Below are 25,148 nucleotides of genomic sequence, written 5' to 3'. Positions count from 1 at the left end.
AGGAGTCCGTAAGCATGCATAGTCCCTGTGTTGGGCTGGTTGAGTTTTTGTTCTGTGACGCACTCTTTGTCCAAACTGAGGAAAAACAATGATCATCATGATAATACAGAAAGAAAAAAAATGCATGCATCTGTTAAAAACAAATGAAGACAGAGAGGCAACTGGATGTTAATACTTCTCTAATGTAGTAACAGCTATGATAAGATGTCCATATGAGAGAATATTTTTAACCATAAACAAGTATATCTTTCAAATAATCTTATAATTTGGGCAATGCTTATGAAATAAGTAAAAAGAAAAAATTGAATATTGATCATTAGTGTGATTTCCACAATGTAGACTACAAATGCAGGCATTGAAAACAGACATAAGATAAATACTCCTAAATGCAAAATGTTAATAGAGGTTGTCGTCATTTTCCTCCTCCTCCCTGTCCTCCCCCTCCTCCTCTTCCTCCTCTTCTTCTTCCTCTTCCTCTTCTTCCTCTTCCTCCTCTTCCTCTTCTTCTTCTCGGATCATAGCTCACTGAATCCTTGAACTACTAGGCTCAAGCAATCCTCTTCCTCAGCTTCATGAGTAGCTGGGACTACAGGCCCATGTCATAATGCCTGGCTAATTACACCTGGCTAATTTTTTAAATTTTTTTCTTTTGTAGAGACAGATTGCTGCTATGTTGACCAGGCTGGTTTTGAATGCCTAGCCTCAATGATTCTCCCACTTAGGCCACCCAAAGTGCTGAGATTATGGGTGTGAGCCACCATATATAGCCTATTTTCTTCTTATTCTTCTAAATTTCTTAATGTTACTATAGTATTAATATACTATTTTTATAACTAGAAAAACCCTTTTTATAATTGTATTAAACTTGCTATTTTCTTTACCTGTCTCTCTGTGTGTTGCGAATTCCCTCTAAGGAAATTTCCTGAGTGCCAAAGACTCCATCCTTGTGTCCAACCTAGACCAGTCTTCTCTTGAAAACAATTTGTCCTATGACCACCCTTAAGGAATAACTAGATGCCAGCCAGCAGAACTGATAAATGCCAAAAAGTGTTTGCAGTTTAATGGGCTTCCCTTCTCAGGGAACAAAGTTAAATTTTTAAAGGGAGCTAACAGAGCACATTCCAAAGCTCTGTTCTACAGCAACTCACAAACTAATGACTCTAGGAAGGTGATATTTCTCTTGACTTAAAGGAATGTATTCCTTGGTAGTTATAAACTCTGTTTTGAAGTCCACTTTACACTACATCATCTCCTTGTTAACTCATGAGCCTAAAGCATCTGATTCTAGGCTCATCTTCCCAGTCTGAACACTGTCTACACAGCCTGGGCTTCTCAAGGCAAGCGGCTTTCCAAATGTATCTTAAGGTGCCCTGTTATTCTTTTAAGTGCTTTAAGAGCTACTTAGTAAGGTGAGGGAGAAAAAGGAAATATGGTGAACAGGTCTTAGGGCTTCAATATTGAGTACCACCTAGGACTCAGTCATTGGGTTGGGCTTTCTTTCACATGATCAAACCTTAAAACCCAATCGTCTTTCTTGGTGTTATAAACTGAGGCATGGAGCACTTAAAGAATCTGCCCAAGACTCCAAAGCTTGTAAGAGGCAGAGCTGCGGGTTAAATATGGGTTCACTTGGTCACAAGCCCAAGCTATTTCTTTCTTTCTAACAATGGCTATTGCTTGCTGAACACATCGCATTAGCATTTTATTTATTTATTTATTTATTATCTCAATAGGTTTTTGGACAACAGTAGGTGCTTGCTTACGTGAATAGGTTCTTCAGTGGTGATTTCTGAGATTTTGGTCTGAATGCACCCGATCTTGTCTGCATTCGCATTTTAAAGACATTTTCAAAAGAGCTCTGATGGAGGTTATATTTGAGCTTCTGGAGTTAACACAGCCTGCTATCCTATCCTATCTTTGAGCCTATGGAGTTACAATGTCGACTTTCCTATCTCTGCCTCACCACCAACTAGCCTACAGCTGTAGACAAGTTCCTCAACCTCCCACACCTTAACATAGATTCCTCATGTGTAGAGGTAGTAATTGCTAACAGTTATTGAGCGTTTACTCTATGCTGAGCTCTCTTCCAAGCACTTTACAAATATTCTCTCATTCACTCCTTGTAAGATTCTAGAAGGAAGATGTGCCCATTTCTCTGAAGATGATTTGAGTTGGTGCTATGAATAAATACCCTACTTGGGGCAGAAACCCAGGCCTGGCTGATTCAGAGCCCTGTGTTCTTTCCATTTCTACACAGGTAACCTCCAGTTCACATTGTAGATCAATAAAAATGGAGATGGATCTATTTCTCAAGCAACAGGCACAATTACTTCTCAATGCACTCCCACCTAACATCAAATTCAAACCCTTTCAGACACCCGTGGAAGGATAGAAAACATTTCCTCTCCACCAGTTAGTAATAAATGTCCTTTCTCCCAGTACCAATGCTCTTTCCCATAGCATTTAATGCCTGTAACTCACAATTTAGAACTCAGTTATATGCCTGATAAAATTATTCTACTTAAATGTAAATTTTATGTCTCCCAAAGAGACCACAATCTCCTAGAGGTCAGAAACCATATCTTACAGAATCATAGAATTAGAAAAGTAATAGTTTGTAAAATAATCCTTTTTTTTTAAGAAGCTGAACTCTTTCAAAAGAAAGATTATTTAGAATCCAAGTTATTCTGACTGAAAACCATTGAGCTAGTTAAACCTTAATCTTTCAAAGTCCAAGAAAAATGTTGACATGATAACTTTCAGTGAGCTGGTGGTAGGGGGAAGACCGGAATGTATGTTCCCTGATTCTCATTCAGTGGTTGCTTTCCTATGGAAATACTGGGTCTTTTCAGGCTCCCCTTAGTATCTCTCTTTGTCTTGGCCCTGATCCAGAAAAATCTGGACCAACTGCCTTGTTTCTGAAAACCCTTCATAGAAAGCTTATGAGAGGTAGTGTGGTAGGACTCCACTATCAGATCAGCTGCCAGGAAGAACACAGCATCTGAAATGTCTGAATGTTTTTATTCCCCCAAAACTCATGTTAAAATCTTAACCCCTAGGGTGATGGTATTAGGAAGTGGGGCCTTGGGAGTGATTAGGTTATTAGTGCCCTTATAAAGGAGACCCCAGGAAGATTTCTCACCCCTTTCATCATGTGAGCACACAGTAAGAAAACATCATCTGGCCAGGCACAGTGGCTCACCCCTGTAATCCCAGCACTTTGGGAGGCTGAGGCAGGCAGATCACCTGAGGTTGGGAGTTCAAGACCAACCTGACCAATATGGAGAAACCCTGTCTGTACTAAAAATACAAAATTAGCTGGGTGTGGTGGTGCATGCCTGTAATCCCAGCTACTTGGGAGGCTGAGGCAGGAGAATCGCTTGAACCCGGAAGGTGGAGGTTGCAGTGAGCCGAGATCGCACCATTGCACTCTAGCCTGGGCATCAAGAGCGAAATCTGTCTCAAAAAAAAAAAAAAAATCATCTGTGAGGAACAGGCCCTCACCAGACACCTAATCTGCAGGCACCTTGATCTTGAAATTCTTAGCTTCCAGAACTGTGAGAAAGAAATTCCTATTGTTTATAAGCTACCCAGTGTCAGGTATTTCATTACAGCTGCCTGAATTAAGACAGCACCATAATTGCAAGTGGCCTTCAGTTGCCATATTGGCCATGCAGATTCTCCAGGAACATGAAGCAAAGCCATTGCTTTTAATCACTTTAGTTCAGAACTATAATCTGTGTCATAAAAGATGAAAGACATTATCCCTACCAGGTCATAAATATATATTTTTTTAATTTACTGAGGTAACATTTAGGAGACTTCGGGGGGAAAAAAACTCAATGTCACCTTTGTCTAGCATTTTCTGCTTTCTAATATTTTAATAACACTTTTCTCATAATAATATGTATATAGGTTCATTGTCTTATATTTCTTTCTACAGAAAATTTAGAAAATATATAGAGTATAAAGAAAAAGTATCATGTTTAACCATTCACTCAGAGATACCCTCTGTTCTCTGTTTATTTGGGAAGGAGTGTGAGGATATTTCCTGTCTGTGTTTCTATGTGTCTGTGCTTGCATGTGTATGTGCATATGTATTCATACATATTTTTTATTATTTGAAGTGAAAAATAAAATACATACTTGCTTAAATCATGTTAGATGATGAGACTTTTCCATTGACACATAATATTCTTTTAAACATTATTTTAATATGCATTATGTTCCACTATATGGATTTATTGTCATTTATTTAATCGAATTTCCATGAGTTTATATTTACGCTGCTTCCAGTTTTTTTCTTACAAATAATAAATGGAATAAATGGCCACAATGAAAGTCTTCTTACATAAATAATTGTGACTGATTGTTTTCTTAGGATAAGTTACTATAAATAAACATTTCTAGGCCTTTGGCTATAAACCGTCAAGTTAGCCTCAAGAAAGGTTGTATCAATTTACATTCTCATCAGTGATATATGAAAGTGCTGAATTCCTGAACCTTCTCCAGAAAAGAGTGATTGACATATATGTCTATCTATATATGTGTATCCATATATCTACACACAGATAGTCACACACATAAATTTAGTATAACTGCTATCTAATTTTCATTTTAATTTGCATTTCTTTTTATTAATCCTAAGCTTGAAACATGTTTTCAAAGCTGTTAATATACTCTAACAATTGTGGATCTACACATACATGGAAACGCACACACACACACACACACACACACACACACACGCAGGCACACACATCTTCCTTGACAAAGAAACCCACATTTTGTTTAGATGTAAGTTATCCAAGTACTACAAAAGAAGCTGGGATCTGCCCAAGCCTCAGGGGATAAATCTTGATTCTATTTATCTTTCTAAGGTATATTTTATGAATAGGTAGGTCAAACTATTTTTGTTAATGAGACATGACAATAAATCTGTTGAGGTTTTTAATAAAGTTACTCTTATTTTTAAAAAGGGACTGTGAAAAGGGAAATCTCTTTTCCCTTCTGACTCTGGGACATGGTTAAGTCAGGATTTGATGCTTGGAGTAACTTCACCATTTTGAGATCTTGAGGGGAGCTAGATCAAGTTCCAAAACTATCATACTGAAAATAACCAAGTAAAAAGTTAGAAAGAATCTGTTCCACTGAGGATTTCATGGAGCAGCTGAATTAACTATTTCTGAAAAACCTGTCCGCACAGTCATTGTTTTATGTGAGAATTTGTCATTTAAGCCAGTTGAGTCATTTGATGTTATTCTGTTTTTTTTTAATTCTTTCAGCTAAACTCACTCAAACTGATATACGTACGCTGTGTCACTTTATCCTTTAACAACTCTGTGAGGATGTACAGTGAATACTGATGAAGAAGCAGAGAATTTAAATAGCTTTCTGATTCACAGAGTAAATAAGTGACATAATCAAAGCTTGCAACCAGTAGAATTTATACACTAGACTTTAACCATGAGAATTTATAGCTTTCATTTTGGCCAAAGAATAGTTAGTATATATTCTCAATTATCTTAGCAAAAGAAAAAATCTTAAGGCACTTCACTATACTTCTAAAAAGTACAGAAATAACAATAGACAGATAGATTAAATAGATAGATAGATAGATATGCATGTACCATGTCTTTACGATAGAAATAAAGAATATAAGATAAAACACTGGTTGTTAAAGAGAAATGTCCATTCATTGTATGACCTGAATGTGGATAGAGTGGAGCTGCAAGACCAGCCTCAACAATTTTGTAAGCGCTAAAGCATCCTTAATGAAACTCCTTTATGAGAAAGCCTTATTGTGATTCTGAATGCACAAATCTAACAATAGAGTGTACAGAAATATTAACAAGGCTTTTATGATGAATTTGGGTCAAGGGCAACACAGTACTTAATAGGTTTGTTCACAAACACCCTAGGGGCAAGCTCCATCATTGATCCTGGTTGTTCTGCAACAGCCAAAGTGGTTCAGGTCCTTTATAACACATGTAGGAATAAAAAGGAACTCCCACTTAAACCCAACAAAACAATCAAACACTAGACATGTCTTTCAGACTTATTTTCATCATGAAATTTCAAGGTAAATGAGCTTTGATAGTCTCCCTAAGATATATGTGCTGGATTTAATAAACCCTAACATTATTTTAACACTACTATCACTAAATGAAATAAATATGTGGTCTTTGGCTTTTCCAGTACTACATATGGAAAACTAAAATTGGTCTGGAAAAACAAACTTTCGATGAATTTTTATACTATAATCCCTCTTTAGAGGGACCTCTTAATTTTTTTCTGTTTCGTTCTTTTATTGACTTCATTTTTTGTGTATGTGACAGGTAGAGAAGTCCAGTCACAAAAGTGTTTGTGCAAGTGATGAAAGTTTCTATAATTTCTTCAATTCAACTTGAATGGTTGTGAGCTCCTATTCTTCTGAGATAGTGGGGTCACTGAAATGTCTCAGTCATTTTAAGTGTTCCCCACTTCCATCAGGCTCTATCATGGCTCTAGAGGACCCCCAATAACCAAGGCATTGGCACAGAAGAAGCTGCCTAATCCTCAGCCCATGGAACACAAAGTCACCATAGATATGCTCCATTTGTCTTTAGGGCGCTTTCAGGCAATGCAGCAGCAATGTCACAGTTAAAGATTCAACATCTTCCCATGAGGCCCCATCTATAGAGATACCTCACAGTCATTGTCTATCCAGCGTCTTATACATCTCAGAGTGCAGCTTTGGAAGCAGGACCCCTCCTCCAGGAACCATCCAAGTCCCTGCTTCATGACTTCCTGAACTCCACATTTCTCACCACCAGTTCTATGGAATCTTTTTTCTCATCTACAAAATACAGTGGGCAATTCATATCCCTTCCCATTTCCCTCTGATATTCTCTCCATACTCCAACCCTCTCTGTTCTTCTGCTCTATGCTAAAGCAGTGGCTCTTGACCTTGACTGGACATTAGAATTACTTTTAAACAAGCCCACCAAAGCTGGGTCCCAACCCCAGAACAGCCAAAAATCAAAATCTCTGGGGATAGATCCCAGATTCCAAGTGATTCAACCCTGAGGTGAGAATTGGGAATCTCTGCCATAAAGAATTAGGATTTTGGAATCCTGCTTTTGGTACAGTAGCATTCCTCCTCTGAGGGCGTAGGGAAGGAGGGTTACAGAGCCAATTATCTATTTATATGAAAGGAAGAAAAAAAGAGAGAAATTCCAGCCATACAAATGAAAACAACAGATAAATAACTATCATCAGACCTTCTAGGTTGGTTTTGAAATATGCAAAAGTAGTAGCACATGCTTTATTTTGACTTTTCTTGTTCAATATATCAATAAATAGTTTCTGGTTATCTTTAACAAGCAAAAAGTAGCTTTGCATTCTATAAAGCATTTCATAGAGCATATTTTTACTAAAGTAAAATAGTCTAGAGGCCTGTGACCTGTTTCATTCTTATAAATGTATCACCTCTGCTGAGACTGAAAGCCAAGCAATTGTCCTGTAACTTGTCCCTTAATGCTGCCACACAGCCTACGGTAAACAAGGACAAGCATTCTGACACAAGTACATGGTATGGGCCTGAAAGATAATGATGATCCGTGGAAAATTTGCCATTTTGCTCAATCAGGTTGCGGAATGTTCTGTTTTAGTTCCATTTCATGTGGCTCTGCTAAATGAGAAAATATCAGATATCTCATATTTGAAAATATTCTCTATTTCATCAATATAATTGACCAAAATTATAATAAAATTTCATCAAAAATATTTGTATAGTTCATCATGGGAGTAAAGCATATTCCAGAGACCTAGCCTGACATTTCTAACAACTAACTATTACTTTTAAGGCATTTAAACTGTTGTCTAATCTCTTTTCATTATAGTGTACTTAATTCAAACCATTAAATTAATAGGCTATTATATCTAAGTCTTTAAGTTTTCTCTATTTCAAACATAAACTTCCTTTAAGGTTTCTTCCATGCCAATATCAAGAAAATAAAAATCCTTTTAGCAAGGTAATAGAGATCACATGGGATATTTGTTATCTCACTTGTTCCCTTTATTTCTTACCTTCATGGGAAGCTTTTGGCATAAAAATGAATGCCTACCCGTTACTGTGAAGTATCTGTCTTATCGCTGCATGCTTTTGTTGTAAATCACAAATATCCTCCTTTAAAACTGCCTGCGTATCTAATGATAATGTCTTATCAAACAGCCAGAAACACGGGGAGTTTAGTTGGGGATAAATGAAAGTCAGAGGCCAATAAATCAAGCTGGTTGACTATTCCAAAAACCAAAAGCATACGGGGGAGAGAAGAAAAACCCCTCCTCCCTGTAACACCTCCATTTCAGGGACCTCTTCCAGTTTCAAAATTCATAAAAGAGCAAGAGCAACTAAGGGATCTCTTACAAGAAACAACGCAATTTCAATCCACACGAAAATTCCAAGGCTAAAAACTCCCCCAAGGGTCAAAGGCCAAATGTTTTAGATTTCACCCTTTCAAAGGCCAAGGGAGACTTCCCTACAAAAAAGTACAGAGCTCCATATATAACACATACTCATGTCAGGGAAACCCCAGTCCCCAGGGAGGTAAAGATTAAGTTACAGCACACTTTTAAGCTCTAGATAATTATTCTCAATGTTGAACTCTTGGAGCTTTATTATCCCATATATATAATCCTTTTTTTTTTTTTTTCAATTTTTAGCAAGAAAAATGTTGGGTAAGAGCTAAAGTTTCCTGTTCTGTGTAATGCATTGCCTTTCTCCTCCATCATGCTTAGCATCCACTGTCTCAGGTGTAGTCTTCTGAAAGGACCATGGCTGTCAGCACAGAATTGGGAAAGACTAGTTTGGTTTTCCTTCTTTAAAACTTGTCAAGTAGTAATAACTACCACAGGGTGAAACATCCAATACTAAACTAAACTACTAAGATTTCAAAGAGGGATTGATTTGGCAAGCAATATTTTTGATGGTGAATGAACATTTGAGTTTTCTCATTTGAAGATATTGCCTAATTAACAAACCATGAACCCCTTGGCACAGACATTATTTTTTAATAATCTTGGTGACTATCTTTTATAACACTTGTGACAGACACTAACTGAATATTTCATACATAGTAAAATAATTAATTAATCAATCATCCAATAAATCAATGAATCACCAAAGCTGATATATCTTCTTTAACTTTAGGCTTCCTATTTTTGGTTGAATAGAATTTTTCAGTATGACTACTGACTTCTAAAAACTGAGTAGCAAAGCTAAATGACATAAAACAGCAAAAGAAAGGAAAAAAATATGACCTTGACATGGTTATAAAACCAGCTGAACAGCGTCAGCAGGTACTGATTGATTTGAGAAGAGACTAGAATGGTCTTTGGAAATAAGGAATGTCAATAATGGAAATGCTATATCAGGATCCGGAGTCAAATAAAGGAATGCCTTTAGGCCTGTCAATTTCTCCCAACAAATAATCATCTGGCAATGAAACATTTGAAAAGACATTTTATAGTGGCAGATATCTATCATACACCTCATTTATTACACAGGCAAATGACCACTAAGGGAAGGAAGTCTTCTTTGCCTATAAAAAATGGCAGAGGTTATGGGTGGGGACATAATATATCTTGGAGAGTACAGAGCACGTTTGGTCTAACAAGCTTATTTTCAGGACACAAAATAAATGTCAGCATTCCAAAGACTCAAGCTTACTATGAAAGCGTCTAATGAAGGTCCTTGAATCTGGCCTAGAGGCTCTCCTCCTGTCTCCTGTCTCCCATCCATATTCCCCATTGTAAATCCCTAACATAGTATAGTCATTGCATGCTAGCATGCCTCAGTCAATTCCCACAGCCCCCCATTGCTTTCAGAAAACATTTCAAACACTTCATCTTGGCAATCAAGGGCCATTTTTCATTGTATTTTGCTTGCATTTCTATCATAGCACTTAATACAATGTGCCTAATATTGTAATTAATTTTTGAGAATACCTACATAGCTTATGAACTGCTGTTGAAAAAAGGTTATCCTAATCAACAGCTACTCATGTCAAAATAAACCATATTTGTTGGCAATCTGTTAGTATCACTCACTATATAGGCATGGGTACCATTTGCCAAATGTTTCTGGTCCTCTACCATTCCAGGCATGAGGTAGGACAGTATTTTCTCATCCCTTTGTGGATGGATGGAACTAGTGATTAGTTCTAGTCAATGAGTTATAAGTAGATGTGATTTGTGTCACTTCCTGGTCAGAACATTTAATGGCTGATGGAGGGCCTCCAGGATCTCTTTTCCCTGTCTTGATGATTGGAAATGTTCACTATAGTGACCATTCCAACAGCTTGCATCCCAAAGTGAATATGGTATGCAGAACGCCTCTGTTGATCAGAGATAGACAAATAGCATAAGCAAAAAATAAAATTTATCTTAAGTCACTTATATTTAGAACATCCAATAGAATGTTCTGAACATCCTACAGAACATCCTATCCTTACTGATAAAAGTGCTATGATAAATACTTTCACATATATTAGTTGACGTTCACTATAACCTGTGGGTACGACAGATGTGAGCAATATTTTATAAATGAGGTTTTCAAAAGTGAAAAATTTGCCCAAAGTCAAGTAGCTTTATGCATTATTTCATTCAACAAATGTTTATTGAGCACTGCTTTGTGCCAGGTAATGTTCTAAGTAGTCAAGGTATAGTAGAGAACAAAAGGAAAAAGGCCCCTGCTCTCAAGAGTTTACATTCTAGTGGAAAGAGACAGATAAAAGAATCATTTATACATAAGAAAATTCCAGATAATAATATGTATTACTCAGAGAACTAAAATCAGGTGGTATGACAGAAAACAACAGAGTGGCTATTTATATTGATCATGGAAAGCCTCTCTGAGGCTTAGGCTAAGAGGTAAATGAGAAGAGAGCTCAATACACAAATATCAAGAGGAAAAAGACTTCCATAAAAGGGCAATAGCTCATGCAAAGGTCTTAACAAACAGAAACAAGCTTGTTACATGGAGAAAAAGACAAAGGTCAGCATGGCCATGTCATAATGGACAAGGAAAGAAACGGTAAAAGACAGAAGGGAAAGAAGGAAAACTATATAGGGTTATATATTGAAATAAGAAACAGGGATTTGATTTTCCATGTAATGAGACACTAGATCAAAGTTTTAAGTAGAGTTGTATGATTTCTCTTTTTAAAAAAATTGCTCTGTCTGCTATGTGAAGAATGGGTTATGATGGAACAAGACTGGAACAGAAAGTCCAATGTGATGGCCATGGCTGAAGTCCACTAAGATGGTAATAGGTGATATAGACAGAAGTGGATGGACTTAGGACAAGACGTAAAGGGTAGCATCAACAAGACAGATGCATGGATTGAAATTGGAGGGGTGATCAAGTGTAACCCCTGGGGAGAGGAAGGAGTTATCTCTACATTTTTGGCTAGAAAAATTGGGTAAATGGTGCTTTTGCTGGAATGGGAGAAGTTGGGAGAGAAGGAGGTTTGTAGAAGTGGAAAGAAATCAAGTTCTGTCTTATCCATGTTAAGCATGAAATTCCTACTAAGCATCTATGTGTACATGTCAAGTTGAATATATAATTCAGAAGTTCAGAAAAAAGATTGGAACTGGAGCGATACATTTAGGAGTTGTTGACATAAAGATACTATTAAAGCTCTAAGATTGATGAAGGCATCTAAAAAGAACCTATAGGTAAACAGGGGAAGGGGACCAGGATAGAACCGGAGGGTACTCTAACCTTTCAGAAGTCAGCAGCACAAGAATAGCTGGGGACATTGGGCAAGAGTGACAAGTGACAAAGAGGGAAAACCAGGAAATAGGATGGCACAAAAGCCAAGAAAACATGTGCTTTAAAGAGCAAGGTGTGGTCAGCCCTGCTAAATGCTGCTGAGATAAGAACACTGGCTTTAGCAAAACAGAGTTCATAAATGGCCTTGATAAATGTATCCTCTGCAGAATGGTGAGTATGGAAGTCTGACTGGAGAGAGGTGAGGAGCATATGTGAGCTGAATAAATGTAAGGTGAGGACAATAACCACAGGCAAATTAAGAAGTTTTGTTGTGAGGAAAAGCAGAAAAATAGGGAAGCAGGTTGAAAGAAATCTGGGATCAAAGGAAGGCTTTTTAAAGAAAAAAAAACCTCACCTATTTTGTGACCTATGAAAATCCACAGTCCTCATCAAGATTTCTGAAATTCCTGAGAGGAGGCAGTGATGATAATGATGTGTGTGTATATTAGTAAGTGTATGTTGGTGGGGGCAGCAGAAAGAACTGTAACAATGGTTACTTGATAATGGTTACCTCTGTGGTCCCCACATCCTAAATGCACTGGTATCCTTTCTGTTGTCCACCATGTGAACTTACATTCTAATAGGGGAGGGAGGGCGGTTCTCATGAGGCATTCAGGGTGGGAAGACTTTATTGAAGATTTGAGGGTAAGAAGGAAAACTCACATAGCATACTGTATGGCAAAACAATAAAAAAAAACTCACATAAAATATTTCTTCTCTTAAAAATCCTTTCAGCTATCCTACTATTGGGTGGTTTTCACCAGCCCTCTGTCCTCCACAGCACCCAACCTTCTGTTCTCTGACTGGTTCCTCTCCCCTCCTTTCTTTCTCTCTTTTGTTCTGTCTTTTGTGTTCCCTCTTAGGCACACACACAACAAAACAAAAAAGCGTGTGTGTGTGTGTGTGTGTGTGTGTGTGTGTGTGTGTGTGTGTTTGATGTAGACTTTTCCTGCAGAGCCTTACTCTTTCCTGTGTAGGGGGGAGAAGGGCACTTGGGTGCCCACTGATACCCACACTGTTACCTTTTATTCCAAACCACATAGTTCCCTTTCTAAAAGTAATTGTGGAGCCAGTTCTTAAGATAACACATTTTCCATCTTGTTCCATATATAAACCACCAGACAGAGCGCCTATCCTATTAAGGCATTCGACAAGTGCCAGCTCTTGCCTTCCTTTCTCAGTGAGGAAATCCGAGCAAAGTCAAGCATTCTGGTAGAATTTCAACAAGGTCTTCCACACAGCAGGGCTTTAATTAATGTTTATTAAGTTGCATAATATGGTGCTCTTGGGCTAGGAGGATATTCACTGCCTTCTTCTAATCTTAGGGTTAAAAGACGTTAAGAGCCACATTTAGTATTAAGAACAGATTGATAGGCCCTGTAACTTTACAGCTTTTTAGAAAGTGTTTGTTTATTGGTCCGAAAAAGTTTTGATCCTTTAAAACACTGAAATCCTAGCGCACTATGTTTATGCAGTCTCTCTCTTCTTTTCCTAAGAGTATTAATTATAATATGTAAAAGACAGATAAGTGAGATGTGACTTTATGTGGTCCTCAGAAACCTGTGTCAATCTGAACTCTCCAGCCCTTCACCCAAAGAATAGTAACTTATAAATAGACATCACTGGCAAAGAAATTTGGACATACTAACATGTGCCCTTAACTTTTGCAACTTTTTGCACTTCTGAAAAGGTCATTCAGAAAAAAAAAGTACATTAAAAATAGCGGTATTATATTCTGAGTAAAGAATCCACTTTTTATATACCAACGTGATTGGAACAAAGAGAAAGATGCAGACATCAGGAAAAGTTACAACATGATTGAAATCTTGGGTTCAAGGGACCCTTTTCTTATAACTTACAGATTTAGTATTTAAACACATTTGGTCCAAGAGAAGAAAAACTTGGAATCTTCTACCACCCTTATCCAATTTACTGTTCATGTCTGTATGTACATGATTGAAAATATACTGGAAAGCCAAACCAAATGCCCCATAAAACCAGCGCTACTCCAACAGAGTCAGTGACCACTGTAGTGCTAAGGGATATAGAAAGAGGTGGGACACAGACAACAAGCATATATTAATTAAATACAGTTTCGACCAGCTCCCATATACCTAAACTTTGACCACCAAGTACTCCCTGTCACCTCTTTAAATTTAATCCTTGTCTTTCCCAGTGGGAACAAAGTACATTTTCTTATCTACAAAAACACCTCATCATGATGCAACGAAAATAATTGATACTTTCTATTTTTAGAACTAGTATATCTAACTCCCTCAGTGTTACTATTGGCAACTGGGACTTCAGTTTCAAATCACACACCCATGTATGCAAGCACACACACAGAGGCAGAAATATTGGGAGTGGAAATCAATTATGCAGATAATTTATTTATTATTGCTTTTTTCTCAAAAGGTGGGGTGAAGTAATAAAGAGAAGAACTATTTAGATAAAAATAGTACTTTGTGCACTAGGAATTAAACATAATAACACAGACATGGTGCAGAGAATGGATGAATTAAAAAAACAACACTGCTTCTTAAAGCTCACCTGTACAAGAGAAGTCATCCACACGAATGTATCCTGGGACACAGTCACAGCGATATAACCCAGGAAGGTTGACACACACAGTATTGGCATGACAGTAATGCATCTTAGCTGCACACTCATCAATATCTGAAGGAAAAAAAATAAGTAAGATCATGGTTAGCAAAATAATGGAACAACAGTGTAATCATTTTGCAGATAAATTAAAAAAGATAAATGTCCATAGAAGCCAAGAGAAAAAGTAACATGCATTAAACACAAAAGCTTAGGTGAAAATTCAGCTTGGTACGTTAGATCCCATCCTGAGCTGAAAGTGTTTCCAGAACGATGCATGGTGAGACAAAACAGGTAAGAGCCCAAGAAGTATGAAGAATGAATTTACAACTATTAGTTTCTTACCAAGGAGAATACTCTTTTTAAATGTCCAAATTCAAGGAGTTCTGTGTCCACTAAGTCGATATCAATGAATATTTATTAGGTGTCCACAGTACATGGTATAGCTTTTATCAGAGGGATCAAGGGAATCCAGCCCCTCTCTGCTTGTATGTCTTACTAAGACATGCTTCAATTCAAACGCTACAAAATGATGGTGTAGCTAGTTTCTCCCATGTTGTACTATGAATATAGACAACTGCTGTTGCCTGATGCAAATTAATGTCTCTCATCCTTTGACCTGGAGCTCCTCCCCATGTGATAGAATAATGGGCTGATTCAACAAAAAGTCTTGTTCTTTTTGGGATGGAGTTCAGAGCATCACCTGCTTTCTCATAAAAGTTCGTGATAGGGATTAAAATAACCTACAACCTTAAGCACAGAGTTTAGCCTTTTCTGGAGATTGTTTTCAAAAACAGATTTATGTTCCTTTTACTCAGACTGCTTGTGTGTGATGGTTAGAGAAAGAAGGACATGAGTACATCATGGGAATCCAAGACAGAAAATGTGAGCTCTAGTTCTGGTTCTGCTGATTAATAGTCTATGACTTGCATTCAACTACTCTGGGTCCAAGTATCCTCATCATTTTGTCCCAATGGTCAATTCTGAACCCAATGTTTTATATCTGTAAAGATATTATCTAATTCAATCCATATGCAATCCCATGAGCAAAATACAAACACTACTCCCGTTTTATAGTCTAGAAAACTGGGGCTTAGAGAAGTTAAATATCTGGCATAAAGTCATCCTGTTAGAACACGCTAGACCTGGGATTTGAATTCAGAAGTTATTTACTATTATTTACTTCATGAAAGCTTCTTGAAAATGGTGATTAGTCAAATACAGTATTTCTATTACAATAATCATTAGAGCTTTAATATTATTAATGTACAGAAACCGAGGATAAAAATGGCTACATTGAGTCACTAGGAAACTCATTAATCTATTTATCTTAAAAGAAAAGTAAGTTGATTTATTTCCTAATAAAATATATTGAAATAACATCAGATTCTTTTCAGAGCTAAAGATCTGACAGCCTATAAATAAAAGTTATTGCGAGGTCATTGAGATCTAAGAAGGAGACCCACAGTTAGCAAGACTTTCATAACCATGAAATAAGAACAAAACACCAGAAATCAGTGAAATAACTCAGGCAATCAACTTCCTGCAGGCCAACCACAGAGGTTGCTTCCTGGGGAACTCAACTTCCACCAAGAATCCTGATGAAGGCAAGGAATTATTACAGTCAGACCACTGGAATCCAAGAGATGGAAAACTAAAAGAAGGAGTCATAGAGTAGTATGGTGACATTAAGATTTTGGAAGTGATTTAGTTATTGTTGCTTATAAGGTCTTTGGTAGGACGATGAAAGGTTGGGTGAAAATAGGCATAACAAGTGAGAGGCTGGAAACAAGAAGAGAAGCCAGGTATTAGAGAGGGCTGCTTGACATTAGTGTGTTGTTCATAAAATATTACCAGTTTTCCACTCTCTGGGCACATAGCACAATTGTATTTCCCCATCCTTTTCAAATTTAAGCATGGTTTAAATTAATCTCATGATTGATCATGAAATCTGAGTGGAAGCATATCACTTCTAAGTGGAAAGATTAAGAGCCAGCATCCAGCTTACCACATTTTCTTGTTTCTGCCTTGTAACCCATGGAAGCAAAGACATGGAGACTCTTTCAACCTGGGCCCCCAAGTGAGGAGCAAGCCACCATATACCTGTTGCATAAGCAAGCACCATATACCTGTTGCATGAGCTAGAAATATGCCTTTGTTGACTTAAGCCACCATGCCTTCCCTGATTGGTGCAGAGAATGACTACAAAAGTTATCTCAAGAAAGGATATAATTACGCTTCATCTTGAAAGATGAGCAAGAATTCATCAGGTAGAGAATGAAGGTAGGGAAACTATAGAGGCTAAAGTTTTTGTCTGTCAAGTTAGAAATGGAAAGCATCATTTAGTCATGTACATTCAAAGAACATTAATTAGGCTTCTACTAAGCCCAGAGGCGGACTGATGAACAAAATGCCACATAGACCTCGCAGACAGGCAAGGCATTGAGCAAAATGTGTAATAAATTCTACCAAGGATGTGAGATCTTTCAACAAGAGGAATTTGACCTACTCTGAGAGAGTCAGAGAAGGATTCTCTCTGGTAGTGATGGTTCATCTGAGACATGAAACAGAAGTGAAACAGGCCAAGGGAAGAGCAATAACCTACCAGACAGAAAAGAATGTTTGAGAAGACTTAATTACAAAAAGGAGCTTTGCGTATTTGAAATGAAACTGGAAAAATAAGCTTGGGCCAGATTCTTTGTGGACATTAGTGTGCTGTTCATAAAATATTACCAGTTTTAGATTCCGGCAGGCCTTGCAGGCCGTGTGAAGGAGCTCAGACTTTCATCAGGGTAGTAACACAATTCAATTTCTCTGTTTTAAAAATATCACTCTGGCTGTAGTGAAGAGAATTGATTGGAGCAGAGTACGCTGAAGGCTAAATCACATTGGTATTTTACTCACAGAGATACAGCCACACTGAACTCCATCTCACTCTGCTGGGATGCCCAGCCATCCTTTAAGATGAGAAACTAGTCAGGACTTGCCTTAGAGGCAATTCAATCTTCAGCCCATGGGCCACAGCTGCCAGCCAGCCTGCTGACTGCAATGAATGTTTCCCTGTCATGGACCCTTGTCAACACCTTCCAGAGAAACCTCCTGGCTCATTTTTCTTAGGCCATCACCAAGCTGCTGAGAGGCCTCTGCCTCATCTAGATTTGAAGGAGTTACTTGGCTATAACAAGCTTATTTTGAGTCAAGCCAGCCAAGCTATTTCTTTGTTTCATAAGATTCCAAGGCCCTGAATAAAAATATTTTCAAAAATCAAACAAGGGATGGTTAGAAAACCCCAGTGAGAATTTTTTACATGGATTTAATCCAACCCTTGCTCTCTACATGTCATTGAGACTCTGTGCCCACACGTCCCTGATGCTCTGCTGATGTGTTTTTGAGTAGGTTTTCAGTTTATACCATTATTAATTTCAGCTCTTGCATATCTAATAATTTCCTGGTACTAGTCCAGAGAAAGCACTGAAATAAAGATGAAAAGTTGATGAATGTACCAGAAAATTAAAATGTCACAATCTTGCCTTCATTGCTTATTCTTCATCATGTAACCACCAGATATAAAAGCTATCTTGTGGTAAAAATGGTGGGGAGAAGAGAGAGAAAGTGAAGTGGAGTACTCCAGCTGATTCTCTTGAAACAAGAAGATAAAAGAAAGAAAGAAATTGGCAACTCTCACGGTTTTGGGATGGGAACAGAGGATGGAATGGCAACACGTTTGCCAAAGGATTGCCTCTCCATCCTCAGGGAAACACACAACCCAGAAGACAGTTTCAATAGGATTCAAGGGTGTATCAAAAGCAAATCTGATTATAAACGGAGTAAAAAAGGAATTAACATCTTTAGAGAGCTGGGCTATCCTGAGAAAACAATCTTCAGAAATAGCGAATGATTGAGATTTTATAAATTTTATAGATGAGTCTAGGACAAAGGCTGCTTTTTGTTCACAGAAAAAAGGCTCTGAAGGGTATTGAATAATTACAAAACAAAAATCATAACTCCCTAATGAAAGAACAAACTGACATTTAAAGAGAGAAATTGAGTTGGACCAAAGCAATTAGTATGCTAACCACAGACTTGAAATGCAGTCTGACCTTTGCCCAGGTGGTGACAGTACTCTGCCTGAAGCAGATATCTTGAGCAATGGTCATATTCATCCAGAAGCCAGGAGACAAGAAGAGGCTAAGCCTGAAGCTGAATCTCAGAGTGGAAGTTGAACATACACAAATCCATGTTCACGCTAAAAATTTGAATCAGTCCAGAAAGCTTTACTAGGAAGAACCACAGTTAACCTGACATGTACTGGAAGGACGAACTATTTTAAAAGCACATTTTTGGGCACAGGCTGATACCCATATTCTAAGAGTCTAATAGTACGTACCTTATAAAGGAAAACTAGGAACAGCCCCTGGCAATTGGTAAATACCCAAAAAATAGATGCTGTTTTTTAGGTATCAGACACTATGCTAGATACTTTATATGGAGCATCTCATCCTTCCATTTATCTTGACTCCTCGTGGTAGGTATCTCCATGCCACGAAACTGAGGCTCGGAGGTTATCAGGTGACTTCACTTGCCCAAGTACAAAATCAGTAAGCATAGAAACCTGGGTCTGGATCCAAACAATATGACCACAAAGTTGTCATTGTTCTCACTGTGCCAGTTTTAGCACTCAATAACATTTTGATGCTATGATTATGTTCGCTGTAGCTGATGTTTATGACTGTGATTATGTTAGATGCATCATGATGTGTATGGAAACAAATAGATCTCCAAATTCTATATCCGTGTGCAAGGCCATTCATGAATTTGTTCTGGCATTACATTCTCTGTTAAAATGGCAATTCTGCTCCGTGCATCACTGCTTCCTTGGCTCTTTTAAATCAAATCCTTATACTTTCACACTTTAGGCTCCAGTGACCCAAGGCCCCAAAACAGACAGAAGCATTTTGCTCCCAGCTGGAACTCACAGACTGACACAGCGTCTACTCATAACGCTTGAGACTATGGAATTAGAAAAGAGTAACAAAGAGTCCTAAGGTTTTTATTATTAACTATTGTTAGAGAAACATCTATAAACCCCATTGCAGCATATATCATCTTGAGTATAATGGGGCTTAAATTGCAATTCTTTCATATAAATTGCTTGTCGCTTTTGAAATATTAGAGCTCATTTTCTGGTGGTCTTTTGAGGTAATAAAAATACATGATTTACATCCCTCCCCAGGATGGTGAAATAGTTTGTTTTTGTTTTAAAAGGTGTACTTATGGACTGTAAAATGAAACTTGATGTGGCATAATGATTCTTCATGTATCACCAGGTTCCATCTGCATAAGAGTTCAGAACAAACACAGACTCAAATTTGGCATCATCATCATTAAATTAGAAGGCAGGGCCTGGGTAACCGATAGAAGCGATGCAAAGAATTCTCTTAATAAAATGATATGATCTACTCAGACTTCTTCCATAAACATTTACTAGAAAAAGAACCCAGGGAGGGATATACTTAGGAGGGGAAAAGGCATTCCCCACTCCCTGTGTACATTTAAAAAGGAAAGAAGATCAACAGCTCTTGAGAACATGTTTTTGGTCAAGCACTGTGTGCCTCTCATCTCATTGCTCCTAACCATCCCAGGGATTGACATCGGATACTACGTGTAGAGTGCCTAAAATTTCAACCAAGGTTCTTATGACTCCAAAGAGGATAGTTGTTCCACACTAACTGTTGGACAAAGAACACTGGATTGACAGTTAAGAGTCAAGTTCTATTCTTGCTTTTTCATTTAGCTAACTGTGGCACTGGGCAAGTCACTTTTCTTCTCAAGACCTTGGTTTTTCCCACGTATACATTCAGGGAGTTGGACCAGAAACCCTTTAGCCAACCATCACTTCTAAAGTTCTTGACACATTCAGGTATTTTGTCCACATCATACAAGCCTGCTTCTGGAGCAGCTTCTCTTGGGCCACCCCCTCTTTTTGCAAGAGGAGCTTGCAGATGTTCCAGATGCCTTTCCCAAGATACAGGTCCAGGAAAATACTATCTAGATGACCCGAGCCCCCACACTATTTCTTGATAGCTGTGTCAACTGCGTTGACATCTCCCCTGAAAACTAAGAGCAACTAGGGTGAACAAGCAGATATCCACACAAAAGCATAGCTCTTGGCAAGTTCTTCATGGACTGGTAAGATAACTTGCAGAGCAATTTTATCAGACTTGAACCTACTGACTTTGCAGAGATCATGAGCTATAAAAACACAGTGGTGTTGGCTAACTGGTTGGTATATTAGAACAATCACTACTTTCCCTTTGTGTCATACTGATTTTTTTTTAATTGGGCCTATTATCTCTGATTTGAACTTATAAAAATCCAGTGAGGTTTTAGGGCAGTGAAAATACTCTTTATGATACTGTAATGGTGGATTCAGGTTATTATATATTTGTCCAAACCCAAAAAATATACAACACCACGAGTGAACCCTAAATGTATATTACGGACTTTGTGTAATTATAACATGTCAGTGAAGGTCCATCAATTGTAACAAATGTTCCACTCAGGTGAGGGATATTGATAACGGATAACAGCAGGAGGTATATGGGCAATCTCTGTGCTTTCAGTTTTGCTATGAGCGTAGAACTGCTCTAAAAATACTTTTAAAATTAAAAACAATAAAAACATCGAGGCACACAAGATGTAAATTATTCTTCCCTTTTTCAGATGAGAAAGTAAAGACCCAGAGAAAATTTCCAACTTGCCCAAAGGAACACAGATAATCATTGCACTGGGAATAGAATCAAAGTCTTCTAATTCTGAAATTAGTGCTTTACTCAATGTTCCATGTTTTTCTATAATTATAGCGTCCTCCCTAAAGCAAGGGGGGAAAAACAAATGCCTATAGAACCTAGGAATATAAATCAAATACCTACAGAAGTCAGGTAAAAAAATATATATGCAAACCATGTCCTTTCCACAAAGAAATCAAGTCTTTCTTATTTTTCTTAACACAGAAAGCCAGCTATCTCTCTCTCTCTCTTTCTTTTCCTCTTTCTCATTTTCCTACTCCAAGAACAATGGAATGGATCTCTTTTATAAGAGAAAAAACACGATGCAAGGCCAATGGTAATAAAAAGTGACACTTAACCCCAGTGGCAGAAAAACAATAGGAAGAGTGTGGACTGTAGAAAACTGTAGCTCTAGTGAAATAGTACCAGGAAGGTGTGATAAGAAACAGTGCTTATATAGTATTTTCTATGCACCAGGAAGTTTTAAGTGCTTTAAATGGATTAACTCATTTAATATTCACACTCTATGAGGTGCATATTAGAATCATCCTCATGTTACAGATGAGGAAATAGAGGCATAGAAACATGCAGTAAATTGTCTAAGGTCACATAGCTAGGAAGCAGACCTGGACTGCCAGGAGAGGAGTTCAGGCAGCACAACTCCACAGTCTGTATTGCCTCTCAGGAATTGTGGGCTAGGTCTCTGATCTTTTTAGAGAAGGTGAAAATCTTAGCATTATTTTTTAAATATTGGCTTCATATTTTTCTCCAAACATTTTGAACCAAGCAAAACATAGCTATCTATCAGATTTAATCCATGGAGGTCTGTGCCTTAAGGCATGTTATCACAAGGAGCATTAGTGAGCCAAGAGGAGAGAGAAACAGAGAGAAAGAAGAAAGATGAAAGGAAGAAAGAGAGGGAGGGAGGAAAGAAGGGAGGGAGGGAGGGAATGAGGGAGGGAAGGAAGGGGGAAGAATAAAGAGGAGAGGAGAGGAGAGAGGAAGGGGAGGGGGAGGGGAGAGAGGGAAGGGAGGGGAGAGAGGGGAAGGGAGGGAAGGGGAGAGGAGGGAAGGGGAAGGTTGGGGAGGGGAGGGGAGGGGAGAGGTAATGATATAGGAGTTAGGAAGAAATTATTTAGGCAGATAGTGAGGGTAAGGAAGTCCTTGGTAAGATTTTCCTTTTAATGAAAAGCAGCACCAAAATCAATTTCTTTTCTAACAAAGAGCAACCCATAAAATCGAGCTGCAGACACAGATAAGCAAGCTGGAAGCTTGCACGGGCAAATGCTGGCAGCTGTGCCAATAGGAAAAGGCTATCCGGGCCCTAGGCATGTCCAACATGGTGGCTCCATCTTCTCCTTTCTTTGTCAACCACATTCACAGTAGGGAGCAGGCAACATGGCAATGGCCAGGTAGAGACCCTATTTGCATAATAAAAGATTAAGGTGGGGTGGCCAGCTTCCTTGAGTGTGACGTAAACACCACATCTGGTTCAACCAGTCTTTTGGCCCTATGTAAATCAGACACTGTCTCATCAAGCCTGTCTATAAAACACTGTGCACTTTGCCTTGGGCAGAAATTCCCACTTTGGTGGCCCTCTCTCTCTCTGCAGGAGAGAGAGCTATTTCTCTTTTCTCTTTCTTTTGCCTATTAAACCTCCACTCTTAACCCCACTCCACGTGTGTCTGTGTCCTTGATTTCCTTGGCATGAGGCAACAAACCTTGGGTATTTACCCCAGACAATGATGCTGCTTCAGTAAGACAATCTAGGGAGATGCCTAGATAACTGCTATGAACTGAACTGTGTCCCCCCCAAATTCATATGTGGAAGCCCTACCTCACAATATGTTGGTATTTAGAGATGGTGCCCTTAGGAGATAATTAGGATTAGATGAGGTCATGAGGGTGAGGCCTTCACAATGGGATTAGTGCCCTTATAAGAACAGACATATAGTGCTCTCTTTCTGAAGACACAAGGAAAAGGCAAGTCAGAGAGAGCATTCATGAGACCCTGACCATGCTGGCGCCCAGACTATCAGCCTCCAGAGATGTGAGAAAATAACATTTGTTGTGCAAGCCATCTAGTCTATGGTATTTTGTTATGGCAGCTTGAGCTGACTAATAATGATAACATAACACTTTACATTTCTCAGGTGCCCAGTGAAATGAATTTTAACATCATCTTCTAACATATGCGTCAAGCAGATGTGTTGATTACCAGATCAAATATTTTCAGATTAAAAATTCAAACGACATTTTGGTCATCCCATGTATGGTAAAGAAGTCTTCTTCAACAAGGTTACATACACCATGAAATACAAATTAGAGTGTTGGATTGCTGACATTTTTCAAGTATTTTCCACATGTAGCTATGTTAAATATTTGGGAATTCATGCTAAGTCATTTTTATTTCCCCTTGCTAGGCTCAATTTCAGAATCAAACACTGTCATAAAGTAACATATCTTTTTGTGCCCCTGGGAATCACAGCATACGAATTTCTAGCTGGCACTGGAAAGGCATCATAAGACAACACCCCATGACTTTCTTCCCAACCTGGTATTTCTGACTTTTGAGGGTGTCCATAAAACTGATGTTAAATGTCCACACGGAAAGAAACACATTGAGTGAAGGGTGATCAATTCAGTCTTGGCCTTAGGATGTGCCTCAGCCTACCTCAATCTGTCAGGGTGTGAACTCTGCTTCAACTGATGGTACCAACAAACCCAGTGAGTGCTTCCAAAAAGGTCCAATGGACTTAAGACTTTTCAGTCCATTGGGCTTATCAAAGAACACCCTAGAAATGTAAAAGCTACTATCGTCTTTTGGATTCCCTGAAATTGGAAAAGGAAATTCAAAAAATATTGAGAGGCTACCAAATGCTATAGGCCGTAAAGTTTCCAAATGTCAGTGGGATGTGGTCTCTGCCTTCACAGAAGCTGTATCAATCCAGCAGAGAGGCAGTCACAAGAACATGAACTTTGTAAAAACAATAAAATTTCTACAAGAGAAAGAAGAGGCTAATTCCGTTGAAAGAGACTGGGGAAGGAATCCCCCAGAAAATAATAATTGTTTTGAGTCTTGAAAATGCAAGAAAGATGCCTTCATAAAACATTGATGGTCTTTCCTATCTCTCTGATTCCATTAGCTAGCTACTCTTGTTTTGCAAAGATAAAGAAAATTCAGTCAAGAGTAAACAAGATGTAAGAGTGCAATACTACCAGCAAAGCTGTCTATATCCTCTTTATCTCTGATTGTACCTTTTTATATAATAATAGGTACCATTTATTAACCACCACTTTATGCCAAGCATAGTTTTAAGCATTTTGCATGTATCAATTCATTTCACCTTTACAAGTACCACACAGGTAGGTATTATTAACATTTTTACCTTATGGAGGCTCAAGAGATTAACTAGCAGGAAGGTGACCTCTGGGGAATTTTAGCCCCTGGCATCTACTCTGTTGTGCCTCTCTACAAGGCAAACTTAGCTTCCCCTTTAAAAGTATTCACATTTCTTGGTTAATTCGATAGCAATTTCCCACAGTTACTTGGTCAAATTATTCATTCACCCCTCCCCTCAAGCAGTCAAAATAGAGTGAACAGGCTTTAGGCCTTTAAAAATAAATGATTTGGTGCCAGAGGTTTAGATCTGATTCACTACAGGATCAAATTAACCAATGATTAAACACCAGACTGAATTACACAAACAAACAAGGGCCTGTGGACCTATGAGCAGGTAGTTAATGAACACAACCTCGGTTCATTAAAAACATTTTGTCCTCTACCACCTGTATGATGAATGATGATCAGCTAAATGTACTCAAGAAGACTAGTTACGTTACTTTTTCATGTATTTCGCCATGTAGAGAGTCCTTAGATGAAATAAGCTTCTTTAACTGAAATCAACCTTATTCCCAATTCCAAATTCTTATATATGTGA

At 38.2% G+C, this 25,148-nt stretch overlaps 1 protein-coding gene across 4 annotated transcripts in view; it reads right to left on the bottom strand.

Moving 5' to 3' along the window:
* Positions 1-25,148, bottom strand: part of NELL1 (neural EGFL like 1) — a 906,136-nt gene that overhangs the window by 447,604 nt on the left and 433,384 nt on the right. For all 4 annotated transcript variants that reach the window (NM_001288713.1, NM_201551.2, NM_001288714.1 and 1 more), the window contains one exon: positions 14,369-14,494. In NM_001288713.1, coding sequence (NP_001275642.1) covers positions 14,369-14,494 — 126 coding nt within the window. The remainder of the gene's footprint in view (positions 1-14,368; positions 14,495-25,148) is intronic.

Source organism: Homo sapiens, chromosome 11, assembly GCF_000001405.40.
Source record: "Homo sapiens chromosome 11, GRCh38.p14 Primary Assembly".
Taxonomy (NCBI): domain Eukaryota; kingdom Metazoa; phylum Chordata; class Mammalia; order Primates; family Hominidae; genus Homo; species Homo sapiens.
Note: the sequence above shows the minus strand (reverse complement) of the source record. Positions and strands in the feature narration are given on the sequence as shown.